The sequence below is a fragment of the Homo sapiens genome, chromosome 1, assembly GCF_000001405.40.
Source record: "Homo sapiens chromosome 1, GRCh38.p14 Primary Assembly".
In the NCBI taxonomy this organism is placed as follows: Eukaryota; Metazoa; Chordata; class Mammalia; order Primates; family Hominidae; genus Homo; species Homo sapiens.
Genome location: NC_000001.11, coordinates 149737727 through 149763446, shown reverse-complemented (window position 1 = coordinate 149763446; position 25720 = coordinate 149737727). Strand labels below are relative to the sequence as shown.

At 40.5% G+C, this 25720-nt stretch overlaps 1 long non-coding RNA gene, 1 other non-coding gene and 3 pseudogenes across 15 annotated transcripts in view, besides 3 other annotated features; 4 read left to right on the top strand and 1 right to left on the bottom strand.

Annotated features, from left to right (window-relative positions):
- The window catches only part of LOC105371406 (uncharacterized), a 45129-nt gene that overhangs the window by 15297 nt on the left and 4112 nt on the right, over positions 1-25720 (bottom strand). Inside the window, exon 3 of one of the 4 annotated variants that reach the window (XR_002958361.2) lies at positions 14597-16621. The exons of 2 other annotated variants lie outside the window; for them this stretch is intronic. This is a non-coding gene — a long non-coding RNA (uncharacterized LOC105371406). Of the gene's footprint in view, positions 1-14596; positions 16622-23224; positions 23306-25720 lie in introns of those variants that run through there. One more of the 4 variants, XR_007066594.1, reaches the window with a different exon arrangement.
- On the top strand, positions 6656-6726 carry TRR-CCT8-1 (tRNA-Arg (anticodon CCT) 8-1; annotated as a pseudogene).
- UBE2D4P1 (UBE2D4 pseudogene 1) lies at positions 8704-9260 on the top strand (annotated as a pseudogene).
- The window catches only part of PDE4DIPP7 (PDE4DIP pseudogene 7), a 29158-nt pseudogene continuing 18050 nt past the window's right edge, over positions 14613-25720 (top strand). For 7 of the 10 annotated variants that reach the window (XR_007066586.1, XR_007066592.1, XR_007066590.1 and 4 more), the window contains exons 1-2: positions 15259-15830; positions 16010-16547. The product of XR_007066586.1 is annotated as a PDE4DIP pseudogene 7, transcript variant X7 (transcript). Of the gene's footprint in view, positions 16548-25720 lie in introns of all 10 variants that reach the window. The other 3 variants (XR_007066588.1, XR_007066589.1, XR_007066584.1) reach the window with 3 other exon arrangements.
- Positions 14978-15918: an enhancer, noted in NCBI's record as "H3K27ac-H3K4me1 hESC enhancer chr1:149719079-149720019 (GRCh37/hg19 assembly coordinates)". NCBI's record gives its function as "activates a minimal SCP1, AML or CMV promoter by ChIP-STARR-seq in primed H9 embryonic stem cells {active_cell/tissue: H9 hESC(primed)}" and the evidence as "EXISTENCE:reporter gene assay evidence [ECO:0000049][PMID:30033119]".
- Positions 22353-22932: an enhancer, noted in NCBI's record as "NANOG-H3K4me1 hESC enhancer chr1:149712065-149712644 (GRCh37/hg19 assembly coordinates)". NCBI's record gives its function as "activates a minimal SCP1, AML or CMV promoter by ChIP-STARR-seq in primed H9 embryonic stem cells {active_cell/tissue: H9 hESC(primed)}" and the evidence as "EXISTENCE:reporter gene assay evidence [ECO:0000049][PMID:30033119]".
- Positions 22933-23513: an enhancer, noted in NCBI's record as "NANOG-H3K4me1 hESC enhancer chr1:149711484-149712064 (GRCh37/hg19 assembly coordinates)". NCBI's record gives its function as "activates a minimal SCP1, AML or CMV promoter by ChIP-STARR-seq in primed H9 embryonic stem cells {active_cell/tissue: H9 hESC(primed)}" and the evidence as "EXISTENCE:reporter gene assay evidence [ECO:0000049][PMID:30033119]".
- Positions 23126-23199, top strand: TRN-GTT8-1 (tRNA-Asn (anticodon GTT) 8-1). The gene has a single exon. It is a non-coding gene; the product is annotated as a tRNA-Asn (tRNA).

Here is a 25720-nt window from a genome sequence, read left to right as displayed (position 1 = left end):
AAGCGTTTCGGGGGATATTATTTAGTAGTATAGAAACAAATTTGAATTTGGCACATTAGGTTAATATATTAAGTTGAATCATATGAAATTGCCAATATTTGACAAATTTTGGCCTAAAAAATGAACTTGAAAATAGATCAAATGAAATTATCCACACTGAAACACTAAAAGGAAAAAGAGTAAAATGTTTTCGAAATTTCAAGAACATACTGGTCAAAAGGGAACTGAACCAAACCACAATTTATTTTTCTTTTTGGTAGCTCCAAAATGAAAGAGGCTGTCTGTTATCCACTGGTTAGATAAAGTAAGCATTTCCCTTCTACACAGGCGATGAGGGGATGGGTCAGATAATTTCAGTTGTTCCTTTTATCTGGTTTTTCTATCTCCTGAGAGAGCATCCTTCCTTTTCTGATTCTCAATCCATGTACATAACTCATCTGAGGGATCTTTATAAGCTTGTAAGTCATAGACTTGACTCTTTCCTTTCAAAGTCCAAGTATTTTATTATGTGTGATGTCTCTGGAGTCTATTTGCCACCTAAAAATTGAGAATATGGTCCCAAGCCATCATTTCTGGATATCATTTGAAGCAGGAAATGTGACAACCATTCAAATAGGAAACAATGACAATGACCATTCCCAGAGTCAACATTAGATAATGCATGGACCTGTTGCATGGGATTTATGATGGTCAGGGGTGACCGAAATCAGGTTTCTTGGGTTCCCTCAGTCTAAGATGTCCTTCCAGTTGGAAGGGATCCCCAAATCATTCTACGGTATGGTCACAACCACAAAAGCACCTCTAGGATAAAAAGTGGTGGATAATTTCTCTACACTTCCTCGAAGTTCTGAGTAAGTCTCATCCTGTCCTTTTGAGTTTGAGTCACTTTGGCAGCATAGTCACTTTCCTGTGCTGACTTAGATCCTTTTATTTAAATCCCTGTTCCTGTCACTTGAAGGTGCTTGATGGAAACTGAAGCCCTTTGTTTATTAATTCCATGTGACCTGTTCTTTAGTGGGTAGTTAAACATTTCAAGGACACTGAAAAATACCAAAATACCAAAGAGTGTGCTGTCAGTTGTAGAGGAAACTAGGCTATGCCATCTGATTCAAATAGTTAAAGTTGGCATTGATAGTTCTATGGTAACATTCTTGATTTCCATTTGTGAAAATTTTAGCCCAATTTCCGGCCAATATACACAAATGTATATCTCTATTAGACTATTAAGAAAAATAATAAATGTTTAATTTTATATGATGTGGCTTGATTCTCTTTTACAAAGTAAAATCTGAACATGTGTGAGATTACCAGCTGGGGGTTGTTAGATTTTGAGACCGGAGTTTTTGATCTTGTGGCCTAGAACCGATTGGTCACTGGATGACTTAAGAGGGAAAAGAAAAATTCTGCATTGCTAATAAAATCTGTATTTGTGGTGACCTGACAGTTTCACAGTGGGGGGACTGATTTGTGCTCCAGCTCATGGCCTCATCAACTTAGTTTCAAGTCAGAGCCATAGCAGTAAAATATGACTTTATTTTTTTAAGCATTTAGTATATTTTAAAAGTTGATGATACATTTCTGGTAACACTGACTAAGCTATTTAGGTAATATATAGGAAACAAATATTTTTAAAAGCATCAAGATGATGATTAACACTGAAGAATTACGAGGCCTGAAGTAAAGGAAAAACTGGAACCCAGAGCCGTAAGCAAGCAGAGAAGCCATTTTTTGGCTAAGGACATTTCCTGACCTGCATATTAGGGTTTGACAGCCTTCTGTGACTAATGGGACAGAAATAGAAGACCAGAGTCTGCCCAAGTTGGGGAGTTTATCAGGAGAATAATCCTACAATAAGGTAGGACCTTACATTTCTATAATCTTGGGATAAAAATGAACTATAAAAGAAACATCCCTTATGTTACACAGTTTAAGTTCAGAGCATCTTTCACACCTTTTACTTGATTAAAGGTGGTTCTGGGCTGGAAGTACCCCCAGGTGCTGGGCAAGAAAGCTTTCATTGTAGATCTCAGATTATTCCAAAAATATTTTTCCAGATACAAGATATGGCACATACTCAAAAATAATAATGAACCCAAAGAAACTAAACCAGGTGTGAAAACCAGCAGACATGTCAGGCAGTTGAAATCAAGCCCCCAAATATTAGATATATTAGAAAGACTGCAAAACAATGATGTCTACATTATTCATGAAACAAAAATTTGGAAGAATTTTGCCCACTTGGATGTTTTCTTAGCTTCAAGTTAACGTTCAGGCTCACAAGAATCTCAGAGGCCATACTTGGCACCAGATTAATCCGAGAGATGTAGGATAAGAATTATAGCTTGCTATCAGGGCAGCATCAGGCATGATATTTCTATAGGAGCAGTCCCTGCAGCAGCAGTCCACACAGTACCTAGGAGATAGTCTCTTGACTCTCCACCCCTCATTGTCTACTTGGGGACAGCTGAGGTGCATGTGGCACCATCCTGGAGCCATTATCTCTTGTTAAGAACTTAATAGAGTAGTTTCCAATGCCCATGCCAGGTGTATGCAAGTTATAGGAGTCACTGCATTCAGAGAAGCTCAAAGTCTGGCTTCTTCCAGATACTTAGTTTTCCCAGTCCAAGTGTAGTCCATCAGTTAGGAGTCTTTTTTATGATATGCAATGTTTGCTTAGTAACATAGTTGACATTTTGTCATTAGAAGGCTCTAGGTGGACAGAGCTGGAAAGTTAATTAAGGTCAAATTATCATGCAGAAGGAGAAAAGGGTTTTGTTAACAATTTACACACCAATTGGAAACAACAAAAAAATGACAGAATAGATTTAGAGAGAGGCAAACAGAAATTCGGAAAAAAAAAAACAAAACAAAATTAAGAGCTCAATGGAAGAGTTTAACAGGAGAGCAGTCACAGCTGAAAAGAGAACTAGTAAAGTGGGAGATGAGGAAGAAGAAAAAAATTCAGAATATATAACAAGGAGAAAAAATAATATTTAATACACAAACACAAAAATATAACAAATAGAGTGAGAAAGTCTACTTTATTTTTAGTTAGAGGCTCAAAAGTAGAAGAGAGAGAAAATAGAGGCAATAACTGAAGAGATAATACTTGAGAGTTTTCCAGACAAAATGAAACTCAAAAGTCAACAGATTCTAGAAGGCCTACCAATCAAAGAAGATAAATAAAGGGAACTCCATACCTAAAGACAGAGTAGTAAAACTGCAGACAATAAAAAAAAAAAAACAAAGACAAAAATAGTAAAGACAAAAAACAGAGGAAAAAAAGGAACATTACATTCAAATAAGCAGCAGCGAGACAATTGGCTGCCTTCTGAAAAGAAACAATCAAATGTAAATATCTTCAATATGCTGAAAGAAAATAACTGCCTCCAGAATTACATACTTAGTAAAAATAATCTCCAATAATTAAAGCAAATAAAGACACTTTCAGAGAAAAATAGCTGAAACAGTTTTTCACAAGCAGACCAACACAAAAGGAAATTCTAAATGATGTTTCTCAGGCAGAAGGACCATGATTACATATGGAAATTCAGAGACATAGCAGAAATAAAGAGTAAGATAGCAGCACATATGTTGATAAATCTAAATTAACATTAACTACATAAAATATATGTCTAGTCTTCTGGGGTTTAAAACTATTAATACTTAGACCTAATAAATGATAACAGCATATATATAGAATGAGACTAAATGGAATAAAAGTATTCCAACATCCATATATTGTGCAGGAAGAGGATAACGGTATCAATTATTACTATGTTTAATAAATTAAGGATTAGCTGGGCACGGTGGCTCACGCCTGTAATCCCAATACTTTGGGAGGCCAAGGTGGGCGGATCATGAGGTCAAGAGATGGAGACCATCCTGGCCAACACAGTGAAGCCCTGTCTCTACTAAAAAAATACAAAAATTAGCTGCACCTGTAGTCCCAGCTACTCGGGAGGCTGAGGCAGGAGAATCACTTGAACCCGAGAGGCAGAGGTTGCTGTGAGCCAAGATCGTGGCACAGTACTCCAGCCTGGAGACAGAGTGAGACTCTGTCTCAAAAAAAAAAAAAAAAAAAAAAAATTAAGGATTAAGATTGTAATTTTTAAAGTAACCACAAAAGAATAGAAGCAACTTAAATACAATTAAAGGAAATACAATAAGGAAGAAAGTGAAGCAAAGCATATAAAAAAGTAAAAAAATATAATGTTATAATAGTTAAAAATAACCAATCCAAAACAGACAAGAAAAGACATAGAAACAGAACAAGCAGAACAAACAGAAAAAAATAAAGATGGTAGATTTAAAATTAATATATATCAACAATTACATTAAATGTAAGTGGACCAAATTATCCAGTAAAACAAACCCCCGAAATACTGCTACACTGGATTTTTAAATTAACTATATGATATATTTAGGAGTTGTATCTAAACCAGAAAGTGAGAGAAAGGTTGGAAATGAAAGGCGAGAAAAGGAGCTTGACTGAAAACATTAACAAAAAGGTGGCTATATTAATAGACTCTAAAGCAAAAAACATGACATCAGAATATATCTCTTAGAGAATATAACCATTCCTTTCTAAATACTTTTTATGCTGACTGGTTATCATAGGTGACAATATATGTTAATCTGTCTGCACCATTTTGTTAAGACAAAAAGCTTTGGTATTTTCTTCTTCACTCTCCAACTATAAAGCTATAATAAACTAATAAATCTTTAAATATTCCTTATCTTTAAAATTTTTGTATAAGTGATTATTGTCATGTTATTTAGTGCAGTGGTTTATTTTCATCCTTTCTTCCTAATCTCCAAGTATTGCCAGGTACTTGAGCTTTTCCAATGCACACGTATCAAAGCCAGCATGAGTCCAGAACCTACTGCCTCTGAGAGCTGATCCATGGTAATTCTTTTCCCAACATCCTCTTGGTCTCTAGGACTCTAATGACCAAAGGAAAAGAGATTGCTGTTGCTTGGCTACTATGTTGGTAGATATGATTTAAGGCTACAGGTATGTCCAGATTTACACTGTGGAAAGGTCACTCAGGATACAGTGTGGCAAATGGGTTGGAATAGACAAGACTGGCTGTAGAGAGGCCAGTTTTTGATCTACTTATGTTAATGGAGGTGATGGATGGACCAGCGTAGTAACAAAGTGGGAATGAGTCTGTATAGAGTCCAATAAATTTAAATACTATAATTCTTTGGAAATGAATTGTCGTGTTGGGAGATTGGGAGTGTTTAAAGAAGATATCAAGATCTGATTTGAGGAGCAGGATGCATAGCAGTGAGGATAAGTGTCTAGGCAGGGGTAGAAGCAGGTTTTAGTGATCTGTTGAAACACCCACAGCAACACACTACTCTTTGGGAGATGCTGGCTTGGGGCTGATCATTGAGGTAGAGGGTAGTATATGATGCTGACAGGGAACTCACTGGTGTGTTGAGTTTTAGCATCTGTGACTCTGAGATGCATATGAGGCCTCTTGTAAATTTTGGGGTTGAGAGTAGAAAGTACAGGTTTGTATTTTAGAAAGAGATTTCGGAATAAATGTAGCTCTGGTTGACACAGACAATATGTGAAGGTTTGTTGGCCAGAACTAGTATGTGTCTTGGGTGTTGGGCAGAGAACAGATTGAGCCAAAGCTCTGCAAGGCCAGTGTGAAGGGTGATTTCCTTGTTGGGTTCAAGTTTATGACTCAGCCTGGACCTAGCTTGGCTTCTCAACTAGAGAAGAAGCATGATTCCATGTCATACACAACTCCTGTCTTTGAAAAAATCATAATGACTCCCAGACCCAACATGTGGGGCAAACTTTCCAGATTTTTCTCTTCAGTTTAATCTTTCCAGGGAAAATTGGGGAAAGAAATCTCTCTATTTGAACTTCATCAAAAGACCAATATGTTAATATTTCAGCCATTAATATGTCTTTAAACCATGTTACTCCTTAAACAGCTATTACACGAAAGTGTATTAACTGAGGAAACTGGGTTCTCCCAAACAATGAAACACTGACTGCAAGCATTATTCATCTTTTTATATCATAAATTCCTTCAAATATTTTAGACATTTTAGAAAGCAAATAATAGTATTATAATGATTACAAGACTGATCATTACTCTTTTACAAAAAACGGCCACAAATAACTAACTCCATTAGCATTACCTTCTGTCCTTTCATTTCCTCTTTCTTTGTCTTCTTTTTTTGCCTATGATATTCTGGTATAGCATATTCCCTCTTTCTTCTAATTCTAATTCTGATTCTGCTTCTTATTTCTTCCCTAGATTAAAACTTTACTTACCTATGCTGCCAGTTAGTGCTTCCTTCCCAGAGCCACTAAAGCAACAGTTTGAGGTTGAGGTCCTAAATTGAAGATTTAGGATCAGAAACAAGGAACCTGGATGAATTTCTGATGTTTTTCTATAGGAGTCTGTTACGCAGTTGGAAGGAGCCTTTTTCGGAATTAAAGTTTGATCAAATAAGCTATTTTAATATTTATAGTTTTGTCTAGTAAAAGTATTCTGTAAAAACCTTGGTTTTGGATGTCTACTGTTAGCTTTTAGTCAATACTGCAAAAAGCTTCTTTTGGAACAATTTCTGTCTTTTTCAGTATTGTATTTCAATTGTTTCTCCAGGACCACACATAAGAGCCGGATTTGTGGTCCAGTGGTAGAATTCTCACCGCCTGCATAGGAGACCCTGGTTTAATTCCTGGCCAATGCAACAAGTTTTGTGCTTCACTTCTCTATATTCTTTATACTTCTGCCCTGCACAGGCTATCCCATGTTTAAGGGCCTTGGTTGTGGAGGCTTTTGATTTATGACAATGGTAACCCAAGTGATGGCCAATGCCTGAAGCATAAGATATTCAGGAAATGATCTAATGATCTAGGGACCTTGCAGTTAGAGTCAAGAGCCATTCCTGTAATCCCAGCACTTTGGCAGGTCAAGGCAGGTGGATCACCTGAGGTCAGGAGTTTGAGACTAGCCTGGCCAACATGGTGAAACCCAGTCTCTACTAAAAATACAAAAATTTGCCAGGCATGGTGGCACACACCTGGAGCTACTTAGCATAGTCTATCTTTGAAAGTGGCAAGTGTTTCTGGTAGTTTGATGCAGTTTTGAATATTGGTATGTAAAACTTTTGTTACTTTCATCTATTCTCCAGGTAGATCCCTAGAATCCCAAAGAACCATCACGTCCCTGATTCGCATGCTAGACCTTGGGCTGACCGCTGGGTCACGCCTCACTATGGAGCGAGGAACAAGAAGTGAAGTCCCCTGAAGGAGAGAAGCTGTGGGGAGGAGCAGTCACCTTGGTGGTGTCAGGTGTCGGCAGTCCAAGAAAAGGGGAGGCACGTGGGGAGGAATCCGTGCGGAGATGAGGGGAGCAGTGGAGACGTGGCTTTGGGCAGAGGTGGCGAGTGGACCCTCAGGCCTGTACCCTGGACACCATGAACAGAATTAGTTAACATTGTCACCCACCATGGCCTCCGTGTGTTCCGTGAGCCCATTTGCTTTCCCAAAGGGATTCCTAGCAATGTGTGTCAACAGGTGTTGGCCTGATTTTTTTTTAATTTTTATTTTTTGAGACTGGGCAGTGCAGCAGTGGCTTGGTCTTGACTCACTGCAACTTCCGCCTCTTGGGTTCAAGTCCTTACCTGGCAATACTGTGTTGAAGCCATTGAAACTGTCCCTATAAACTTTATAAAATTAATCAGGGAAGAAGGGAAGGGGAGAAACAAAAATAAACAAGCTTGCAGCAATTTTGCATTACTCTTGAGAGCAGCCTGCTCTTGGACCTGCTTCCTCACAGTTGTTTGGTGCTGTTTGTGCTAGAATCAGGCAGGCCCTAGATTATAGTTCTCCTGAACTGTTCTATAGATAACAACCTGAAGATTATGAAATGTTAAGTTTCCCGTTAGAGATATTCTTTCAGATCCTGTGTACCAGTGAAACTACTGATGTCAGCTGGTCTGAAGGACCCCACTGAGGAACTGACTCAGTATGCAGTTTCCAAATCCTAATGATTTCATCCCCCTTCCCCTGCCCAATCAACAACCTTAATTTTCCAACCCCTCACCCTCCACAATCCCCTTAAAAACCCTAACGCAGAAGTTCTTGAGGAGATGGATTTGAGGGTCTACTCATATCTCTCTCCTTGGCTGCCCTGTGATCATTAAATTCTTTGTTGCAAACTGCTGTCTTAGTGTATTGGTCTATTACTGCACAGTGGGCATATGAACCTACTGCTCTTATAACACCAGAGTTGTTTTCTACTTTGTTTTAACTATTCTGGAAACCTCTGTATTTGTTGAATAAAATTGTAATGCGATATATAATGTTTTGTTTTTTTTGTTGTTTTGTTTTGTTTTTTAGCATTTTTTTCTCTAAAGGAGAATCAGGCTTTCAGGTGAACAATCTAGGAGACTTGATTTACAAAAATGAAAATGACATTACTTATGTGATGAGGCACATTGAAAGAGCCCATAAAGTGGCAGCAAAAATTAAACCAGGATGATCAACTTCAAGACAATATCCTAGTAACATTATTAGATTTTAAAGATAAAACATACTCAGGTCTCCAGGCATCACTGTGGAACAAGTTACAAAAGCAACTGAATTAGATGGGCACTAACATACAAGGCAAGGTAACAGTGAAGCAGCATTTTCAAAAAACTTATATATAGAAAGTGCAGTGTGGCTGGGCCACCCCAGCCCCCAGCAGTGGGGTAGGATGGCACTAAAGTGGATCCAGAAGGAATTAACCAACTTGCAGACGAATCCTCCTGCCCAGTGCTCCACGGGGCCTCTGGGTGATAATTAATGACAGTCCTTGCCAAGGAGGTGTTTTCTTCCTGACCATCCACTTTCCTATGGATTGCCTGTTCAAGCCCCCAAAGGTTGCTTTCACAACCAAAATTTATCACCCCAATATCAATAGCAATGGCAGCATCTGCTTCAACATCCTATGGTCTCAGTGGTCTCCAGCATTGACTGTCAAAAGTTCTCTTGTCCATCTGCTCACTGCCCTGCATCCCCAACCTCAATGATCCTCTGGTGCTAGAGATACCCCACACCTACAAGGCCGACAGAGAGAACTACAACAGACTAGCAAGACAGTGGACAGAAAAATATGCTATGTAAGTGCCTAGGTGATTTTACGGGAGACATTGTCTCCCTTGAATTCAAGGTCTTCCCTTGAAATTCTGGGCTGTGGGCTGGGCCATTCAAAGTGTCATCTGTTCTTCAAACAAATTGATATAGGAGTTAAAAAGAAATTATTTAGGCATTAGGGTAAGGAAGTCCTTGGTAAGGTTCCCTTTTAATGAAAAGCAGCCACCAAATAATTTCTTTTCTAACAAAAAGCAGCCTGTAAAATGGAGCTGCAGACATAGATAAGCAAGCTGGAAGCTTGCACAGGTGACTGCTGGCGGCTGTGCCAATAGGACAAGGCTACCTGGGGGGTAGGCATGTTCAACATGGTGGCTCCATCTTCCCTTTTCCTTTCTAACCACGTGTACAGTAAGGAGCAGACAACATGGTGCGAGTAAAGTAGAAAACCCATTTGCATAAGAAGAAGATTAGGGTTGGGTGGCCAGCTTCTTCCAGCGCTATGTAAATGTCACACCTGGTCCAACCAATCTTTGGGCCCTATGTGAATCAGACACTGCCTCCTCAAGCCAGCCTATAAAACCCTGTGCACTTCACCACAAAACCAGAAGTTCCACTCTGGCAACCCTCTCTCTCTCAGGAGAGAGAGCTATTTTCCTTTCTCTTTCTTTTGCCTAGTAAACCTCCACTCCTAAACCCACTTCTTGTGTGTCCACATCCTCAGTTCCCTTGGTGTGAGGCAACAAACGTTGGGTATTTACCCCAGACAACTATGCCACTTCAAAATGTTGGTCACCCACTCTCTCCAGCTGCAGCATGTTGGTGCCATTCTCAACAATTGTGGCTTTGACAATGCCACATCTTTGATGCCAAATCAGCAGCCATAGTTGTTATGATCTGCAGCCTTCCCGGTTACACTGGAATCTCTCTCTCTGCCCCAGTTTATCTGTTGGTCTTTTGGGGAGCTAGGCCCTGCACCTCTCTCCTACCCAGCCTCTATTGGTGCCACTGCTCACAAAAGTACCACACCAGGTCTTCAGCCAGGCCCCTCACCACATAACCTTTGCTTTTTAGAACTCAGTGCCATCCTGGGTAACCAGGGTTGAGCAGGGTTTCCTCACACCCTGTCTGCTGCACAACCACAGCCTGAGGAGGCTCAGCTCATGCTGGAGGGAATTGGGAACAGTGTCACTGGGAAGTGAAGGCCTTGCCCTGAGGCTTCCACCAGTCTTATTCTCCATTTGCCACATGCTGGCATTTCTCCCCTCAAACCAAGAAGCAGCAAGTGGAAAATGTTAAGATATAAAGTACATAACACCCCATAAGACATGACTATGTTTTTAGAAGCAAGAGGAAAATTATGAAACCTCTAGAGGTTTGGGTTATGTTTATCCATATGATGAGGATTTTCGCCACCCCTGCTCCTCCCACTAGGAGCCTACACTAAGTTCAAGTGTGAGCCATTCACAGACCAGAACACAAGGAGGGAGAGAGACTCCTTGGGTGGATCATGAGGTCAGGAGATCGAGACCATCCTGGCTAACATGGTGAAACCCCGTCTCTATTAAAAATACAAAAAATTAGCCAGGCATGGTGGCGGGTGCCTGTAGTCCCAGCTACTCCAGAGGCTGAGGCAGGAGAATGGCGTGAACCTGGGAGGTGGAGCTTGCAGTGAGCCGAGATAGTGCCACTGCACTCCAGCCTGGGCGACAGAGTGAGACTCCATCTCAAAAAATAAAATAAAATAAAATAAAATAAAATAAAATAAAATAAAATAAAATGCAATTTACTCATTAAAAAGAAGAAAGTGCAAATTAAGGATATTATATCCAATGAAACTCTCTTCAAGGTACAAGGTACAAGGGAATGGCTTTGCTTAAACTTTACATAGGCAAGGCTCAACCATACTATGACTCAAACCTTGACCAAATGCCCTCCTGGACCATGGTAAGGGAAGTAGTCTTGTGAGCCATTATCATAAGACTATTTCTTACTCATCTCTTTTGGGGGCCTCCTTGTCTTGCAGCAGGCTACCAGCAGGCAGTTTCTCACCTGTTTCTGGTAAGCCATGGAAATTTGCATCTTGCCCCGATCCCCTCAATGGTACAGCTACAGACTGTAACTGCCTAGCTGCAATATAAAATTGGCCCCTTCTTGACAGAGCAACCCACCACTTGGGTTGTCATCTAGTAACTCCAGTTTGGTGTCATGCTGTGGAATTATGGGTGTGGGGAGCTGACAACATACTAATCTTTCTTATGCATAGATATCCCCTATTACTTATGCTGTGTGCGTAAGTCCAAGTGTGAGCCATTCACAGATTTGATGCCCAACATGGGACCAGTAAGGTCACAATGCCTTCTAGGAGAAAAAACAGAAAGAACCACATGGGGCCAGGTTAGGGGGCTTGAGAAGGGCCTCCAGGATCTGGTAGCAGATGTTCTCTCCCAAGTAGTAGGTGTGAGAGGAGAGTAACAGTCCTCCTATTGTTCTATGTGTTAGTGAATATTTGGAGGCTGAGCATTGACAGGGAAGACTGAAACCAGCCACCCAAATGGCATTTTTTGTTGTTTAAAGTTCATTGAAACTGAATGGACAGGCTGGGCATGGTGGCTCATGCCTGTAATCCTAGCACTTTGGGAGGCCGAGGCAGGTGGATAACCTGAGGTCAGGGGTTCGAGACCAGCTTGGCCAACATGGTTAAACCTCATCTCTACTAAAAATAGAAAAATTAGCCAGGCATGGTGGCAGGAGCCTGTAATCTCAGCTACTCGGGAGGCTGAGGCAGGAGAATTGCTTGAACCCAGGAGGTGGAGGTTGTAGTGAGCTGAGATCATGCCACTGCACTCCAGCCTGGGCAACTCCGTTTCAAGAAAAGGAAAAAAAAAACCCAAAAAAACTGAATGGACAGCCTCTTAAAACCAAAAGCAATTGCAGAGTTGTGCTTCCTGTGGTGTGCCTGCTCTCTTTGTGCTCCTAATTCTTCTCTTCCCCTCAACCTGACTCAGGTACTTTAACGAAAGAAGTCTCTCTACTGCATCTTGATGGCTGGTCACATCTCCCTGCACTCCTTGAACTCTCAGTCAAGGAGGTAAGATATTCTCCTGGCAGGTGCTGCTGTAACTAAAGTGCATGTGTTAAACTTCTTGATATGTGTTCCTGTAGAGTGTGAATTCAACTGACAGAGTTTGGGTAAAACTTGTAGTAAAGGGGGAAAAAAAGTTAAAGTTATGAGTGAAGCCTCTGAGCCAATTCAGTGTATAGTTGTGAAAATGTGTCATTGAGATTGATGATTTACATGCTTATACAATGAATGGTCTTAAATTGTTAGAGGAGATTCTTCTGTTCAGAGTACCATCATGAGTAAAAAAAGGGCTAATGGGGCAAAAATCCCTTAACATTTGTCACCAATGAATGGGTCAGAATTTAGCCTGAGTGCCTGTAGCCTCTGATGTCTAAGTTTTACCATATAAATAATGTTCTGTTGGTTGGCAAGTCAAAATTTTAAAACTCAACTACTCTGACTGCAGTGTTATCACATCTCTGCTAGTAGGGGTGACTGATAAACACCATCCCACCCCCGCCAAAATCAATAGCTTGCTTGCCAAGTAAAGTTTCTTGGGACTATGCCAATGAATTCACAATGTTCAATTCCTCTGGCAGCCAAAAGGAAGACAAAAAACTAAAAACTCGTGCTCTCACAAAGTAAAAGACTTGATTTCTGATATAGAAGCCACCATTGCATGCCAGATTTGTCACTCCTGCCAAAGTTTGGCCTGTTCGTTTTGGAGAAAATATTGTTGCTTCACTGCTTTCTGGCTTCCATACGTTTTGATAAGAAACCTATGTTATGGTTAAAATTACAAAATTACAGAAATAATACTGAATAATAGTCTTCATTTCCTTTAACCTGAACTCTCCAAAATAAACAATACTTAAAATTTGTTGTATATAATTTCAAAAATGGTGGAATCAGAGTACTAACTGATAGTGTCTGGCCAGAGGACCAGAATTCCCAAACCTCATTCTGCCAATAACCTAGGTTCTCTGGTGGATGTGGGGATTACTGTAAAAGATATATACATAGATAAAACTGACAAGGTATAGATAATCACAATTTACAGCAGGGCTTGTGCCACAGTGGAGGGAATTCCAGTAAACTGTATCAGAGGATAAGGCTCAGTTCAAGACCTTAGGGTTTTTTCTTCTGTCTAAGCGTAAAGTAACCTTTATCAAACTTCTCCAAATGAATCTGATGGCTGCAAGTTCTCTGAGAAGAGAGAACCAGAAAGAAGTCACATGGAGTGGGAATTCAAGGTTAGAAGCTCCCGTTAACACCAGCCAAGTTACCAGTTTTGATGCTCTGGTAGAAAAGGGATAGTAATAGCCACACCCCTTTGTACAATATACTAAGTCCCCATATAGTAACAAACAAGCTCAGTACTTGTCCTGGTATGTAAAGAATAAGAAGAGAAAACCTAACCTGAGTCTAGGTTTCCTCCTTTGTTTATTAAGGATTGGGGGAGAAAGACAGCAGAGAATTTGTCTTTTTTACATTACACAATTACTTCATTCCAATTTTCTGATGTCACTCCAAGTAATGCTAAGGGAGAAGTTTATTAGGCAAGTCCTTCAAAAGGCTATTTTCTTCCCATTTTCACTCCTTTCGCGTATCTTTTTGGGCCAGGAAATGGACAATTTAGTGGGCCAAGGAAATGCCATTTTAATATTACAGCATAGATATCTGAAGTATACAACACCATGCCATAAATTCAGCTATCTTAGCCCTACACTATCTAAGAGGTTACCAACACTGTCCCATTATATTTAATTTACCTTTTGAAATTACATATGGTTATATATATATATACACACACACGTATACATGTATATACACATGTATACGTGTGTGTGTATATGTAGTAATATGTATTACTACATAGTTGAATGTAATTCATCAGGTAGTGTTATACAGTGGGCAACATATTGACAGCACAAGCCAACTAAATCAAAAGTGAGTAATGTAAGATGTGAAACATTATTTATTATAATTTATTATGAAATTATTATTAAATTTTTCTGAGACAAAGATTTATAGGGAAATTGATGATCCAATAAAGAGACTTTCCTCCACTAGTGTCTTTGTCAAAATAAAGTGGCCATCAAAATGAAAATTAAATTATGAAAATTTAAATCAAATTTAAATTTCATCAAAATAAAAATTAAATTATTAAATTATGAACACAAGCCCTCTCTGGTTTTGAAAAATCTGCTTTGGTTTAAACCAGCCTTAGGTCTTCAGGCGCCGTTGCCTTTATTACTGGTGCCTATTTACTCTGCCAACACTTCCAAAGATGGGTTTTGGGACCCTTCTGTGCACCAGGTGTCCCAAGGGCCTAAAGTCTCAAGCATACCCATGAGACTATCCAAGGAACCACATTCACAAAATTTAGACCCAGTGAGAACACTGTGAGCAAAACGTCCAGGCTTACATTTTTATTACATTTATTAATTATTTTTCTATTGTGTCCAATCTTAACTGGAAGAAAAGGGTAGGTGCCAAAACAGGAAAGAACAGAGAGACTATTGAATTCAAGTTTGCTGAAATTCTAGGCAGTTCTTCCAGCTTTGCCATCTCTTGCGGATTTATAGTCTAAGGGGAAATTGACTATGAAGAAATCCTTTGATGATAAATAAGCTTAAAATTATCTCTAAAAGACTGATAATTTCTAGCATTGGTTCCAAATTCTGGGGAAAAGACGCAGTCTCACACACTTTGGGGAATGTAATTGGTGCTTATACGTTGTAGGGCTGTATACATCGGAATCTTAAATTCACAATAAATTTCACCTAGCAGTTCCACTATTTGGAATTTATCCTAGATAAATAGCTTAAATTTTAGGATCGACATTAATTCCATTTCTCCAGCAGTCTTGGAATAATTGAGCCACAGCGGTGGCAGATGGCAAACACAGGAAAGAACAATACCTCACAGTGAGGCCGAGACCCAGTCCCCTGATCTGGAATCAACCAGTCCCGGCGGTGAAAGCGCCAAACTTTAGCCACTAGACTACCAGGGAACCACAAAGCACATACTTTTTTTTTTTTCCTCCTTCAATTGTTTCAGCAGAAATTACGCTGACATTGACCTCTAGAAAGCTCCATCTACCCTTCCTGGTGCCACCCGCCCATCCAAGGAATAGTCCCAAAAGGCTGTCCTCTCCCTGCTTTCTCCAAGTTGCGAGCCCACACGCGACGTGCAGAGCTCTCTCCTTTCCTTCCAGCCAGTGGCCCTCTTCGAACACCTGCCAGGTTTACAAGTCCCGGAGCGAGTTGCAGCGTCCCGGCCGCACCTCACTACCGACCTAAAGATGCGCCTTTGCTAGGCGGCAGCGCGTGGAGAGACTGTCGCTGGTCGGCGGGGCCAGAGCGCACCAGGCTTCCGGGAGGAGGCTGGAGCGGGGAGGCGCCCGGGGTGAGACCGTGGCACCCTCAACATCATAAAGGACTCAGATTCCTGCATTCCCGACATCATAAACGACTCAGACGGATGCGGAAACCGAGACGGCCTGGATGGAAAACTCTTTCAAGGAAGACCCCAGGGCCCTGAACGGAATTCCGGATATTTTCTCTAAAACGTACTACACCTGCCTTTTCCCACGTTAGTTAATGGCAACTCCACCCTCCACACGTTCAGGCCAAAAACTCGACGCAGGTCTTTCTCTCATGACCCACATCCGATTAGTTAGGAAATCATGTTCTTTTTTTGGTTGATTTTTTCATCTTTCTTCCCTCCCTCCATCCTTTCCTCCCTTCCTTCCTTCTTTCCTTCCTTCTTCCTTTTTTCCTAAGTAAGCTAACACAGGATCATGTTTCTTTTTTGGTTAATTGCAGACTTTGATCCACACAACTATTCTCTTTCTTGGTCTGAATTTTGGCAAACGACAAGCAAGGCATAGAGATCGCTTCAACTCGCTACCCGCGGCTCGCCCAGACGTTAGGGTTTTAGGCCGCCGTTAGACTTTGGCCCTGCAGGTCAAAATCAGCTACTCTAGGCCTGTCTTCTCGGAGGCCAGTAGCAGCACCTGGTCCTCTCCGCGCGGCTTCTCCCGCCGGGTACGCAACCCTGCACCTCTTTCCTGTGACCTGCAGCGAAGCTCGGCGGGGGACCGGGTATTCAACTGGCCAGGAGTTCTCGAGGCGCAGGTGCGGGTGTGCAGGGACGCGCGCGGTGAGTTTGCAGTTCCTGCGGGCTCCAGCAACATCCCGGGTCAGTCCGAACTCCGAAGGCGCCAAGGCAGGGAGGGACCGGTAGGTGAAGGGCAGCCGCCCTCTTGCGCCCTGTTTCAGTCCTCCAGTCGCTGTTGAATGGAGTTTCCGTCTCCAGTCTCAGCCAAAGCAGGCAAGGCGGACAACCTCGGCCTGGCAACCAGTGAGTATGCAGTCCCTTCTCCACCCCGTTGGGCACTTGAACTTGTGCCGTTGGATTGTTTCTCCCCAAGCTTTCTGTGAATTCCAAGAATGCAACTGATAACTATTTAAAAACTGCCCTTAACTTGAAGAAAGAATACTTTAAAGTCTTAGCAAAGGAAATGTTCTAGATGGGTTTTAAGTCGAGGACTTTCAAGGGTGGGAGGAACACGAAAATCACTACACCAGGGAACACAAATACTGTTGAGAATGTATCACACACACCAACTACACACTTGAAGCAGGTAGGTTGTACGCTTAGGTTGGGCTCATCCTATTTTAAGTGTACTGTTGGTGGAACTTAACCTGAGTCTAGGATGAATATTTTAATTTTAAGTTTTTAATTTAAATACACATTCCAAAGGATATACAGAAAGCATATAAAGCCCACCTTATATCATTTTAACAAAAACAGCAAAAGAGATAATACGTAAATGACAGCCTCATAAAATGGTCTTTAAGTACTGGTTGTTTCCACTAAAGTTTTTCTTCCTACAAAGAACAGAAATTGCAAACCAAACATTGTACTTCATGCTACTAAGTAACAGAAAAAAAAAGAAATTCTTTGGCAAAAAAAAAAAAAAAAAAACGAAACAAAAAAAACAACTTGAAAATGAACTTTTTTTCAAAGATAATCTAAATTCATTGCTGAATGTTGCAGACATTTTACCTCTAGATCAGCTTTTAAGGTAACTAGAGATTTATTTTCTCCAGAGGGTACAATAGAGGATCTTTGGCTAAGGGGTCAACCGTTATTCATGAGCTCATGTGTCCTCTAGTGAAATGAGAGCGATTAAGTGACAGCATGTCTTGATTTTCATGGTGGCACCATAGGATGTACACATTTCAGGTTTATTGAGCTGTCAAACCTAGAGGACTTACTATTAAGCTGTTTATTACTATAAACAAAACAGTGTGAATGTGGCAAAAGGATACACATATTGATAAATGAAACTGAAGTGAGACACCTAAAACAGATCCTTGTTATATGGTCAATTGATTTTTTTTTTCAAAAAAGGTACTAAAGCAATACAATGGGGAAGAAGTGTCATTTCAACGAGTAGTGCTGGACCAACTAGATATCTACTAGTGAGGAAAAAAATCTCAATCCCTACCTCACAACATACACAAAAGCTAATTTGAGTTGGATCACAGAACAAACCATACAAACTATGAAGTTTTAGAAGAAAATGCATGAAAATGTCTTTAAGACTTGGCAGAAAGCAAATATTTTCTAAATATTACACAGAGAAATAAATAAAACAGAAAAATGATAAATTAGGCTTTGTTGATATGAAATATGTCTTTTCATCCAAAGACACCATTAAGTAACTGAAAAGGCAAGCCATGGACGAGGAGAAAATATTCACAACACATATTTGACCAAGAACCTGTATCCAGAGTATACAATTAGCTCCTACAATTCAGTATTAGAAATGGAAACACCCATTTTTAAAAATGGGCAAAAGCTTAAACAGACATTTCAGAGAAGAAAATATACTAGTGGCCAGTCAGTTCATAAAAGAGTGCTCAATATCATTAGTTGTGAGAGAAATAGACTTAAACAAGATTGAGATACCACTCCGCCATTTTAGCATGGCAAAATTATAAAGTCAGAAACCACCAAATCTTGGTGAAGATGTGGAACACCCAGAACTCATACATTTTTAGAGGGAATGTAAAATGTTATAATCACTTTGGTTTGACAGTCTCCTATACATTTTAACATAAACATTTTTTTTCCTAGCAATTCTTCACCTAGATATTCTTCCAAGAGACTTTAAAACATATGTACACACACACACACACACAAATTATAACAAGAACGTTCATAGCAGTTTTATTCACATACCCAAAACTACAAACAATCTAAGTGTCTATTATCAGGACACTGGCAAATAAACTGTGGTATATTCGTTCAATGGAATACTACTCAGCAATAAAAAGGAATGAACATCTGATATACTCAACAATGTGAATAAAACTCAGAGACTTTATGCAGAAAGAAAGAACTGGACATAACAGTGGGCATACTCCATGAGTCCATCTACTGGAATTCTTAGAAGAAAAACTAATTTAAGATGCAAAACATCAGCATAGTTGCTTTCAAAAATAATGCAGAGGAAAATGACAATGAGGAAGATCATTCTGATTGATTACTAATTAATCGTCAACCATATCCAGACACAGCTAACAATGGCAAACTGAAATAGACTACTTTTTTCTTTTCTTTTTTTTTCTTTCTTTTTTTTTTTGAGATGGAGTCTTGCTCTGTTGCCCAGGCTGGAGTGCAGTGGTGTGATCTCAGCTCACTGCAACCTCCGCCTCCCAGGTTCAAGCAATTCTCCTGCCTCAGCTTCCTGAGTAGCTGAGATTACAGGTGCCTGCCACCATGCCTAGCTAATTTTGGTACTTTTAGTAGAGATGGGGTTTCACCATGTTGGTCAGGCTCATCTTGAACTCCTGACTTCAAGTGATCTGCCTGCCTCGGCCTCCCAAAGTGCTGGGATTATAGGCATGAGCCACCACGCCTGGCCTAAGACTACTCTTATTAGCCCCATTTTACAGAAGAAAGATCGAGGCACATAAAGTTTAAGTTATTTATCCAAGGCCACACAGGGGCAGAACTAGACTTACAAACCAGAATACAGGTGTGGTTTGAGCACAGATCAGACCCAGTCTTTCTTCTTCTTGTGCTCTAATATCTTGAGCACAGATTAGACCAGGTCTTTCTTCTCCTCAGTTTTAGGTCTTTCTGGTTTTCTCACCTTGTAGGGGTGAAAAGAGGAGAGAGAAGGGAGAAGGCAAGGGGGCAGTGGGGTGGAAGCGCAAGGATCTATAGTTGTCAAAGAGCACAGCAGGAAACTACTGTAAATGTTGTTACATCAAGGGTTATACAAGTTTCTGGGAGATTGAACTGTTGGTCTGCAAGTTGTGGATTTTATAGTGGTTAAGCATTGTGCTGAGATCAGGAGATGAAATTAAGAAGAATTATAGATTTAAAAATAAAAATAAAAACACGTTTCTGGAAGAAAATGTAGGAAAATATATTCACAATCATAGGGTAGGAAAGATGTCTTAGAGGTCACAAAAAATAAGAAAATTGGATTTCATCAAAATTAAAAACTGCTTATCAAAAAATTACCACAAGAAAGAAGGTAAGCCTTGTTAAGACTGGGAGAAGATATTTGCAGTATGCTTATTTGAAAAATAACTCAAATATTGAATATTTAGAGAGAACTTTTAGACATTAATAATAAAAGCCAAGCTATTTAAAAATGAGCAAAATACATGAATAGGCTTTCTTCACACACACAAAATTTCTAAATGGCCAAAAGACATAAGAAAAAATGTTCAAAATCATTACTCGTTAGGGAAACACAAATTAAAACTTCAGTGATGAGCTACCTTTATGCACTGCTATGGTCTGAATGTTTGTGTGTCTGCCTCCCCCCACTAAATTTATTTGTTGAACTCCTAATCCCCAAGTTGGTGGTAATAGGAGGTTTAGGCCCTTGGAAGCTGATCAGATCATGAGGACTCTGCCTTCATGCATAGGATTAGTATCTTTATAAAAGAGGCTGGAGGGAGCTTGTTTGCCCTTCCACCATGTGAGGACACATGGAGAAGGCACAGCCTATGAACCAGAGAGTGAGCCCTCATCAGACACAGAGTCTGCTGGCACCTTGAACTTGGATTTCCCAGCCTCTAGAACAGTGAGAAATAAATTTCTGTTGTTTGTAAGCTACTCAGTTTAAGGTATTTTAACAGCTTGAATAGAAGAAATTTGAAAGACAAGAAGTACTGACAAGAATGTGGAGTAACTATACTCTCGTTGCTGGTGAGGAGGTAAAATAGCACAACCATTTTGGACAACTGTTTGGCAGTTTATAATAAAGTTAAATTTAGACCTACTCCATGACCTAGCAACTCCACTTCCAGGTATAAACTGAAGAAAAATGGGTGCATATGTCTACAGAAAGAATTGTACTAGAATATAGCAGCTTTGTTCACGAGAGCCAGAATTGGAAATAACCCAGTCATCCACACAGAAATAACAGTCATCAATAACACCAAAATAATATACTAAAAACATGGATGCATCTCAAAAACATTATGCTGCAGGAAATTAGAAGTCAGACACAAAAAAGTATATTCATTTATGTGAATTTCAGAAGCAGTCAACATTCGTCTGTGAAGATAGAAATCAGAATGGTTTGTCTAAGTGAAAGGAAGGTGGATGGGAATCTAAAGGAGGTTATTGACCTTTCTGGGCTGATGGAAATTTTCTATAACTTGATCTAGGCGATGGTTACGTTTCTATGCCCTTAAGATTTGTGCATGTTACTCTATGTGAATTATACTTCAATAATGTACTATTAGCGCTCCCGTTCCCCCGCCAAATAATTAGGTGGGGGAGGTGGAGGATGGCATCAAGTTTAGGTTCTATTACATTTATTGGGTTTTATATGATCAGATTTTATTGTAAAATACCCTGTTGAATGAGAACTCATACAAAGCTCATTGTCATTGCATCTAAAAAGGCCTTACTGACCTTTGAAATATCTCAGCCAGAAAAATGGTTATTACCACACCATTACGTCAGTTGAAGCTACAGACAAGGCTCCTGAAGAGTCAGGGCTTTACCTTTTGAGATGGTTCCTGCACATGCTCAGACACACGGTCCCTTCTAACCTTCCCCAAAGATTCTGCCGTAGGTTAGTGCACTGTGGGGGTTTCCTTCTCTTGTCCTGACTGCGTCACAGGGAGACACAGTAAACTCTGCTTTCTGACCACAGCTACTGGGTGCAGTTGGTAAGGGGATTTAAAAAGTGAAACTGTAACACATACCAAATCTTGCCAAGAAGGAAGCCAGATGCTACTGTGGCTCCAATTCCAGCCAAGGTTGCTTCGGTCACAATGAAGAGCACTAACTATTATATCATCATGGTGCACCATAAACCTGGGGTTGCCAGTGGGCTGCTTTTAATATTTTTGATGCAAAAATATCCACGATATTTTCCTGTTTTGTTCTTGGATAGCTACAAGTTCTTGTGTTTTTTCTCTTTCATGTCCTTTTTCTATTTCTTCCCATTCAAATACATGACAAAAACAATTCTCATCTCTCAGGATCCAGCCTTTGCCTCTGCACAAGTCTCCTGGGAGGTGTCATTGTCCCTGCTGTTTCCCTCTTCATGTCTCCTTTGGTCCCTGCCCCTTTCCTGATCTTGCCCACTGACCCCAAAAGACGTAGGAAAAATGTTCAAAATCATTACTCGTTAGGGAAACACAAATTAAAACTTCAGTGATGAGCTACCTTTATGCATTGCTATGGTCTGAATGTTTGTGTGTCTGCGTCCCCTCACCAAATTTATTTGTTGAACTCCTAATCCCCAAGTTGGTGGTAATAGGAGGTTTAGGCCCTTGGAAGCTGATCAGATCATGAGGACTTAGATCTCAGTTCTGTTGAGAGCCAGGAGCTGCAGCCGCACAGATGGTGCACTCTAGGCCTCTTTGTGGCCTACCCCATGGGACATTGCACACTTGGAAATCAATTGACTAGAATAAAGCCTTTAAAAAAAGAACTTCCCCCTTTGAAAAATCCTTTCATTTATTTTCCAGTCTCAGAATCCTTCAAAGGGCTAAAAGCTTAAAGATGACAAAGTGTGAAAACGAAGGCCCATCAAATGAAAAAAGCAATGGTTATTTATTCTGACGCAAGGGCGTCAGCCACCGGCATCAGCCACCGGCACTTGCATTTTGACAGAGCTTAGAAGGCAGGTAGAGGAGTGGGACAGCTTTATAGCTGAGGAAAGGGAAGGCTTCAGGTGTGCCCTGATTGGAGACTGCTGGTGTGGGGAAGCTGCCTGTGGGCTAACTAGAAGGGGGACATCCAGTGTGCTTGGTTAGGGGTGCATATTTGGCTTTCCCTGGTTGGTCCTAAGTTGCAAGTGGGAACATAAATTAGGGAAAGTGTCAGTTACTAACCAAGCTCTTGCCATTTGGAGCCGATTGTTATGGATGTTATTGTTTGTTACTACAGATAACTGCCTGGCTCCCTGTGAGTCTGACTTATATAATAGCAGGCTGGCTTCCCCGGTTGTTTATTCGTACATAAGGAAGTTGATTTCTTGGGCAGGTGGCCCCAGGTTGTGGATCAGAGTTATATTTTTACGTATAGTCCGGCCATTGTTCGATTGTATATTCTGTCTCTCAAATGTATTATTAATTCAACAAGTCCTAATTGAGCGCCCTGGGCGTTTCAGCTTCCCTGGGGCCCAAGTCGCTCTAACAGGAGTCGCGATCCCGGCATCTCCGGAAGCGCCGGCTTCTGAGGCAGGCAAGGCGGGGTGCGGGGCGTTTCGGAATCACTCAATGCACAGGTTTCAAACTTGACAAACAAGTAGATTCGTCGCTCTGACTGCTCCGGCTTTCCGAGGCTTTGGAGATTACCCAGTCATTTTGCAAAAGGCGGATGGTGCTAGCTAGCGTTTAGTGACAGCTTACCCTCTTATAGAACGAAATTAGGAGCTCAGCCATGTCTCTGTGGCGCAATCGGCTAGCGCGTTTGGCTGTTAACTAAAAGGTTGGTGGTTCGAACCCACCCAGAGGCGTCGCTGGTCTTTTATAACTCCCACGGTGGTCTGCTCCCTTGAAGACTACATGCCTCACTTCCCCTCCTGTCAACTAGTGGCTGCTTCTCATCCTCCAAGAAGGTCTCTGTTGGAAAGAAATGTAGTTGGAAGGTACAGAAGTTCCTTGGACCAGGGAACAAGAGAAATTTTGTGTGATCTGTTCACGGGTTCTGGGTGAAATCTTGCTTCTCTTTGTGCCTTTGGGCTATTGACAAGCTATTTGTACCTCAATATTTTTTCAACTGTAATATGAGGATGGTAATAATACCGCATTTGCAGGATGTGCCTAGATTTACTAATTGCTCGATCAATAATGTTATCAGTAGACTCAAGATTATTATTATCCTCTGCATTATTTTTGATGAAGGCATTTCTTCTTTTGTTTATTCCATCATCTAACCCTTTACATGTTGTTTTTTAAATTAAGTTTGTTCCATGATTTTACGATTACAAATAATGCTGCAGTCATCATTCTTGTACAAATATCTTTTGCTATTTGTACACGGATTTCTATAGGGTAGAGTTCTGGAAGCGCAACTGCTGTATCATAGTGGTTACAGTACACATTTTTTATTTTAATTAATAAGCCCTGTAAATTTGCCTTCCATAGAAGTGGTACCAATTTATATTCCAATTTGTTTTTTCAACTCAGAGAATCCTTTTCTTCATACTCTTGCTAGCACAATAAACTTTCTATACATCTGTCTGATAAATAGAGGGGCCGAGAGCTGTGGCTCACACCTGTAATCCCAGCACTTTGGAAGGCCGAGGTGGGCGGATCACCTGAGGTCAGGAGTTCGAGACCAGCCTGGCCAAAATAGCGAAGCCCCATCTCTACTAAAAACACAAAAATTACCACAGGTGGTGGCCTGTGCCTGTAATCTTAGCTACTCGGGAGGCTGAAGCACAAGAATCACTTGAACCTGGGAAGCAGGGTTGCAGTGAGCCAAGATCACGCCACTGTACTCCAGCCTGGGCCACAGAGTGAGACTCCATCTCACACACACATACATACAAAATAAAATAAAAAATAAAGGGAGTGTTGCCCTCCTGACTTAACTAAGGGGAGGTACAACAGATGACATGGCGCACATTGAGCAGTAGAGTATCTCCTCATCTCTTCAGCTAAACTTCCAAGATATTTTGTATAGCTATAATTTGTTTCTGTGGTGACCAGGTCTGGAGAAGATATTCTGATATTTATTACTCCACTCTTTCCTCTATAAATGGCAAGGGTGAATTAGTATGCTATCTGTATTAGTCAAGGTTCTCCAGAGAAACAGAATCATCCATCTATCATCTATTTTTATTGATTTATTTTAAGGAATTAGCTCACATGATTGTGAAAGTTCAAGGCAGGCAGACTGGAGACCCAGGGAAGAGTTGTTATTTGAGTCCTAAGATATTCTGTTGGTAGAATTTCCTCTTCTTCCAGGAAGGTCAATCTCATTCCATTCAGGCCTTCAACTGATTGGATGAGGTCCACCCACATGACATGGGGCAACCTGCTCTACTCAAAGTCTACTAATGCAAATGTTACTCTCATCCAAAATACCCTTTCTCAGAAACCTCCAGAATTATATTTGACCACATACCTGGGCACTGTGGTCTAGCCAAGTTAACACATAAAATTAACCATCACACTGTCTCTATATTATTCCTTGACAGTTTTTCTTTTTTCTTGCTATGTCCACAGAGATTTGCCCACCTGAGACATAATCTTAGCTAATAGAATCCTGCACCTTATGGGCATCCCATGCGGACCTGTAATCTCAGAGCTATTGGCATATGTTCCCTCAGTTCATCTGTTGAATCTCATGAGCAGAAATTGAGCTATTTGGCTTTTAGACACTAAATGTAATTCTTAGACAAGTATTTTTTCTCTCTCTCATTTGTACATTGTCAACCATTTTTTTCCATGATCCACATGGAATTCTGTTTTTGACTTTATGAAATGAACATCTGGGGATAGTGGTTAACAGGGATACATTATCTGTTAGGTGGTAGATGACAGCTTATCTAGTCTGTGAGTCTTTTTGGACTGGCTATTTGTTTGTCCTGAGGTTCTTAGTATTTCCTAGTATTTGAGTCTGCAGCGTTGAGAAGTGGTTCACATCTTATCTATCTAATACTAGATAAAATCTTACGGGTCCAACAAATGTCAATATCTGCAAAAGTGGAATATCTTTTGATCTACTATTGATTCACATTTGATCCACAAGGATGATCTCCATACACAATGATTTTCCCTTAGGAACTCTGACTTCAATATGTCGCTCTAGCTAAAGGGATCTTGGAACAGAAAGAAAACTGAATTTCTGGCATCCAATATTCTCCTTTCTTAGACTAAAGTTCCTAAACCCTATACCCATTAATTTCCCATTCTTCCCTCCCTAGCCCCTGGCACAACCACCATTATTTCCTGTCTCTATGACTTTGACTACTCTAGGTATTTCATATAAGCAGAATTATATAGTATTTTTTCCTTTTGTGACTGGTT